The sequence below is a fragment of the Homo sapiens genome, chromosome 6 (assembly GCF_000001405.40).
Source record: "Homo sapiens chromosome 6, GRCh38.p14 Primary Assembly".
NCBI classification, from domain to species: Eukaryota; Metazoa; Chordata; class Mammalia; order Primates; family Hominidae; genus Homo; species Homo sapiens.
Window position 1 is genome coordinate 12,671,623 of NC_000006.12, and position 3,095 is coordinate 12,674,717.

The 3,095-nt window shown below is 44.9% G+C and overlaps 2 annotated features.

The window, feature by feature from the left end:
* Positions 310–811: an enhancer, noted in NCBI's record as "NANOG hESC enhancer chr6:12672164-12672665 (GRCh37/hg19 assembly coordinates)". NCBI's record gives its function as "activates a minimal SCP1, AML or CMV promoter by ChIP-STARR-seq in primed H9 embryonic stem cells {active_cell/tissue: H9 hESC(primed)}" and the evidence as "EXISTENCE:reporter gene assay evidence [ECO:0000049][PMID:30033119]".
* Positions 1,527–2,028: an enhancer, noted in NCBI's record as "H3K4me1 hESC enhancer chr6:12673381-12673882 (GRCh37/hg19 assembly coordinates)". NCBI's record gives its function as "activates a minimal SCP1, AML or CMV promoter by ChIP-STARR-seq in naive H9 embryonic stem cells {active_cell/tissue: H9 hESC(naive)}" and the evidence as "EXISTENCE:reporter gene assay evidence [ECO:0000049][PMID:30033119]".

Sequence of the window (3,095 nt, forward strand, 5' to 3'; positions counted from 1 at the left end):
TCTTAGTCTAGGTAGACACTTTCACTAGATAGGTAGAGGCCTTTCCTACAGGGTCTGAGAAGGCCACCGCAGTCATTTCTTCCCTTCTGTCAGACATAATTCCTCAGTTTAGCCTTCCCACCTCTATACAGTCTGATAACAGACCAGCCTTTATTAGTCAAATCAGCCAAGCAGTTTTTCAGGCTCTTAGTATTCAGTGAAACCTTTATATCCCTTACGGTCCTCCGTCTTCAGGAAAAGTAGAACGGACTAAAGGTCTTTTAAAAACACACCTCACCAAGCTCAGCCACCAACTTAAAAAGGCCTGGACAATACTTTTACCACTTTCCCTTCTCAGAATTCAGGCCTGTCCTCGGAATGCTACAAGGTACGGCCCATTTGAGCTCCTATATAGATGCTCCTTTTTATTAGGCCCCAGTCTCATTCCAGACACCAGACCAACTTAGACTGTGCCCCAAAAAACTTGTCATCCCTACTATCTTCTGTCTAGTCATACTCCTATTCACCGTTCTCAACTACTCATACATGCCCTGCTCTTGTTTACACTGCGGGTTTACACTGTTTCTCCAAGCCATCACAGCTGATATCTCCTGGTGCTATCCCCAAACTGCCACTCTTAACTCTTGAAGTAAATAAATAATCTTTGCTGGCAGGACTATGCTGAATCTCCTTAGGCACTCTCTAATTAGATGTCCTAGGTCATCCCAATTCTTAGACCTTTTATATCTGTTTTTCTCCTTCTCTTATTCCATTTAGTTTTTCAATTCATATAAAACCGTATCCAGGCCATCACCAATAATTCTACATGACAAATGTTTCTTCTAACAACCCCACAATATCACCCCTTACCACAAAATCTTCCTTCAGCTTAATCTCTCCCACTCTAGGTTCCCATGCCGCCCCTAATCCCGCTGGAAGCAGCCCTGAGAAACATCGCCCATTATCTCTCCATACCACGCCAAAAAATTTTCACCGTCCCAACACATTACCACTATTTCATTGTATTTTTCTTATTAATATAAGAAGACAGGAATGTCAGGCCTCTGAGCCCAAGCTAAGCCATCGTATCCCCTGTGACCTGCATGTACACATCCAGATGGCTGGTTCCTGCCTTAACTGATGACATTGTCTTGTGAATTTCCTTCTCCTGGCTCACCCCGGCTCAAAAGCTCCCCTACTGAGCACCTTTTGACCCCACTCTGCCCGACAGAGAACAACCCCCCTTTGACTGTAATTTTCCTTTATCTACCCAAATCCTATAAAACGGCCCCACCCTTATCTCCCTTCACTGACTCTCTTTTTGGACTCAGCCCGCCTGCACCCAGGTGAAATAAACAGCCATGTTCCTCACACAAAGCCTGTTTGGTGGTCTCTTCACATGGACGTGCATGAAAGCCAGGGCTGGGCAGTGGTGGCCCAACTTGTGGCATCGACTGTTTAGTGGTGACATCTGCAGTGTCTTCTCCTGACAACTGCAGTGCGATTGTAGCAGTGATTCTCATGCTGGCTCCCTGTCCAGCCACCGATTTATCTACCACTGTGGTCTCTGGAAATTCACAGACAAGTCTGCAGAATAGATGCATATATACATATTCACATAGCACAAAAGGAAAATCCTAGAACTCAAATATACCATTTCACTTAATATAGCTTTTCAATTGTAACTCCCAATTTTACTGTACTCTACAGGTTAGATAACTTGTACCCTACACTTTTCCACTTTCAGGTTCCTGATATTCCTGCTCCTCTTGCCTGGGATAAAATCTCCTTTTCTCTCCAGTGACTTCTGCTTTTCAAAAATTTACCCTCCTTTGACAAATGAGCCAAAGGCGCTGGTTGCCTCTGAGTCCTTGGACCCTAAAAGGACTGCACAGGTGGGTCAGAAGAGAAACTAATTTGTGTTTTTGATGAGTGGCAGCTCCCTGCTGAGTCCTAGGTAGCAGAGCACTGACCATCTCCCCAGAGAGCAAGGCGGGCTGGCTCATGGCTTAAACTGAGTGAACTTCCTTCCTTCCTTTCTAGCAATCAAAGGGAGAGGGCACCTTGCCAGCCAAGAGTGTGAATCTCCTCCTAGGTACTTCCCTACCACTTTTCTCTTTCTCCTCGTGGGGATTCTCTCTCCCAAGTGCCACCCTAAATAAGAACCTTGTACTTCATCGGCTGATACACCAGCCCCGCTGGAATGGGAAAAGGAGTTAGCTTTTTTCCCCCAGTATATTTGTTACTGCTGTTTCTTTTGCTACACATCAAAAAGGGCCCTAATTAGATGGGGCTCCAGAGCCCATTTTTACTAGCCAGACCTCTTGCTGTGTTCCTCAACCTCCCATTTAAATTCCAGGCCCTCCTCAGTGTATTTTCTGACCCCTCTCCTGCTCATTTCTCATCCCCTACTGCATGCAATCTCTTCTTTTCTTTTTAATTCCACATCCATTAGTGTTTCTCTTAAAGTAATTGCATTTAAAATTAGGTGTAACAATTACAAATGATGTGTACTCCTTTTATAGTAATCCCATTCTTTACCCCTTCCTATACTTTAATTTACCAAAGGAAACTAAGAACCAGACCTGTTCACAGACTCAGTCAGTCATTCAACGATCACTAGTTGAGTGCTCACTTGGTCAAGAATTGTGCTTGGATTTGAACACACAATGATGAAGGGATCAGACTTTGACTTCAGGGAATTCAAAGCCTAGTGGGAGAGAGAGGCATTAACATTGCAACGCGTTATTGTAAGTTCAAGCAAGGAGAAATGTGCAAATTACGGGATTACAGGAGATCCCATAATCCACCAGAGTGGGTTTGGGGAGTGGGGAGGATGGAACTGCAAAGACTTCCTAAAGAGGTAGAACTTGAAGTCATTTTTAAAAGATGCATAGAAAAGGTTGGGCATGGTGGCTCAAGCCTATAATCCCAGCACTTTGAGAGGCTGAGGGGAGCGGATCACAAGGTCAGGAGTTCGAGACCAGCCTGGCCAACATGGTGAAACCCAGTCTCTACTAAAAATAGAAAAATTAGCCGGGCGTGGTGGCATGCACCTGTAGTCCCAGCTACTTGGGAGGCTGAGGCAGAAGAATCACTTGCACTGGGGAGGTGGA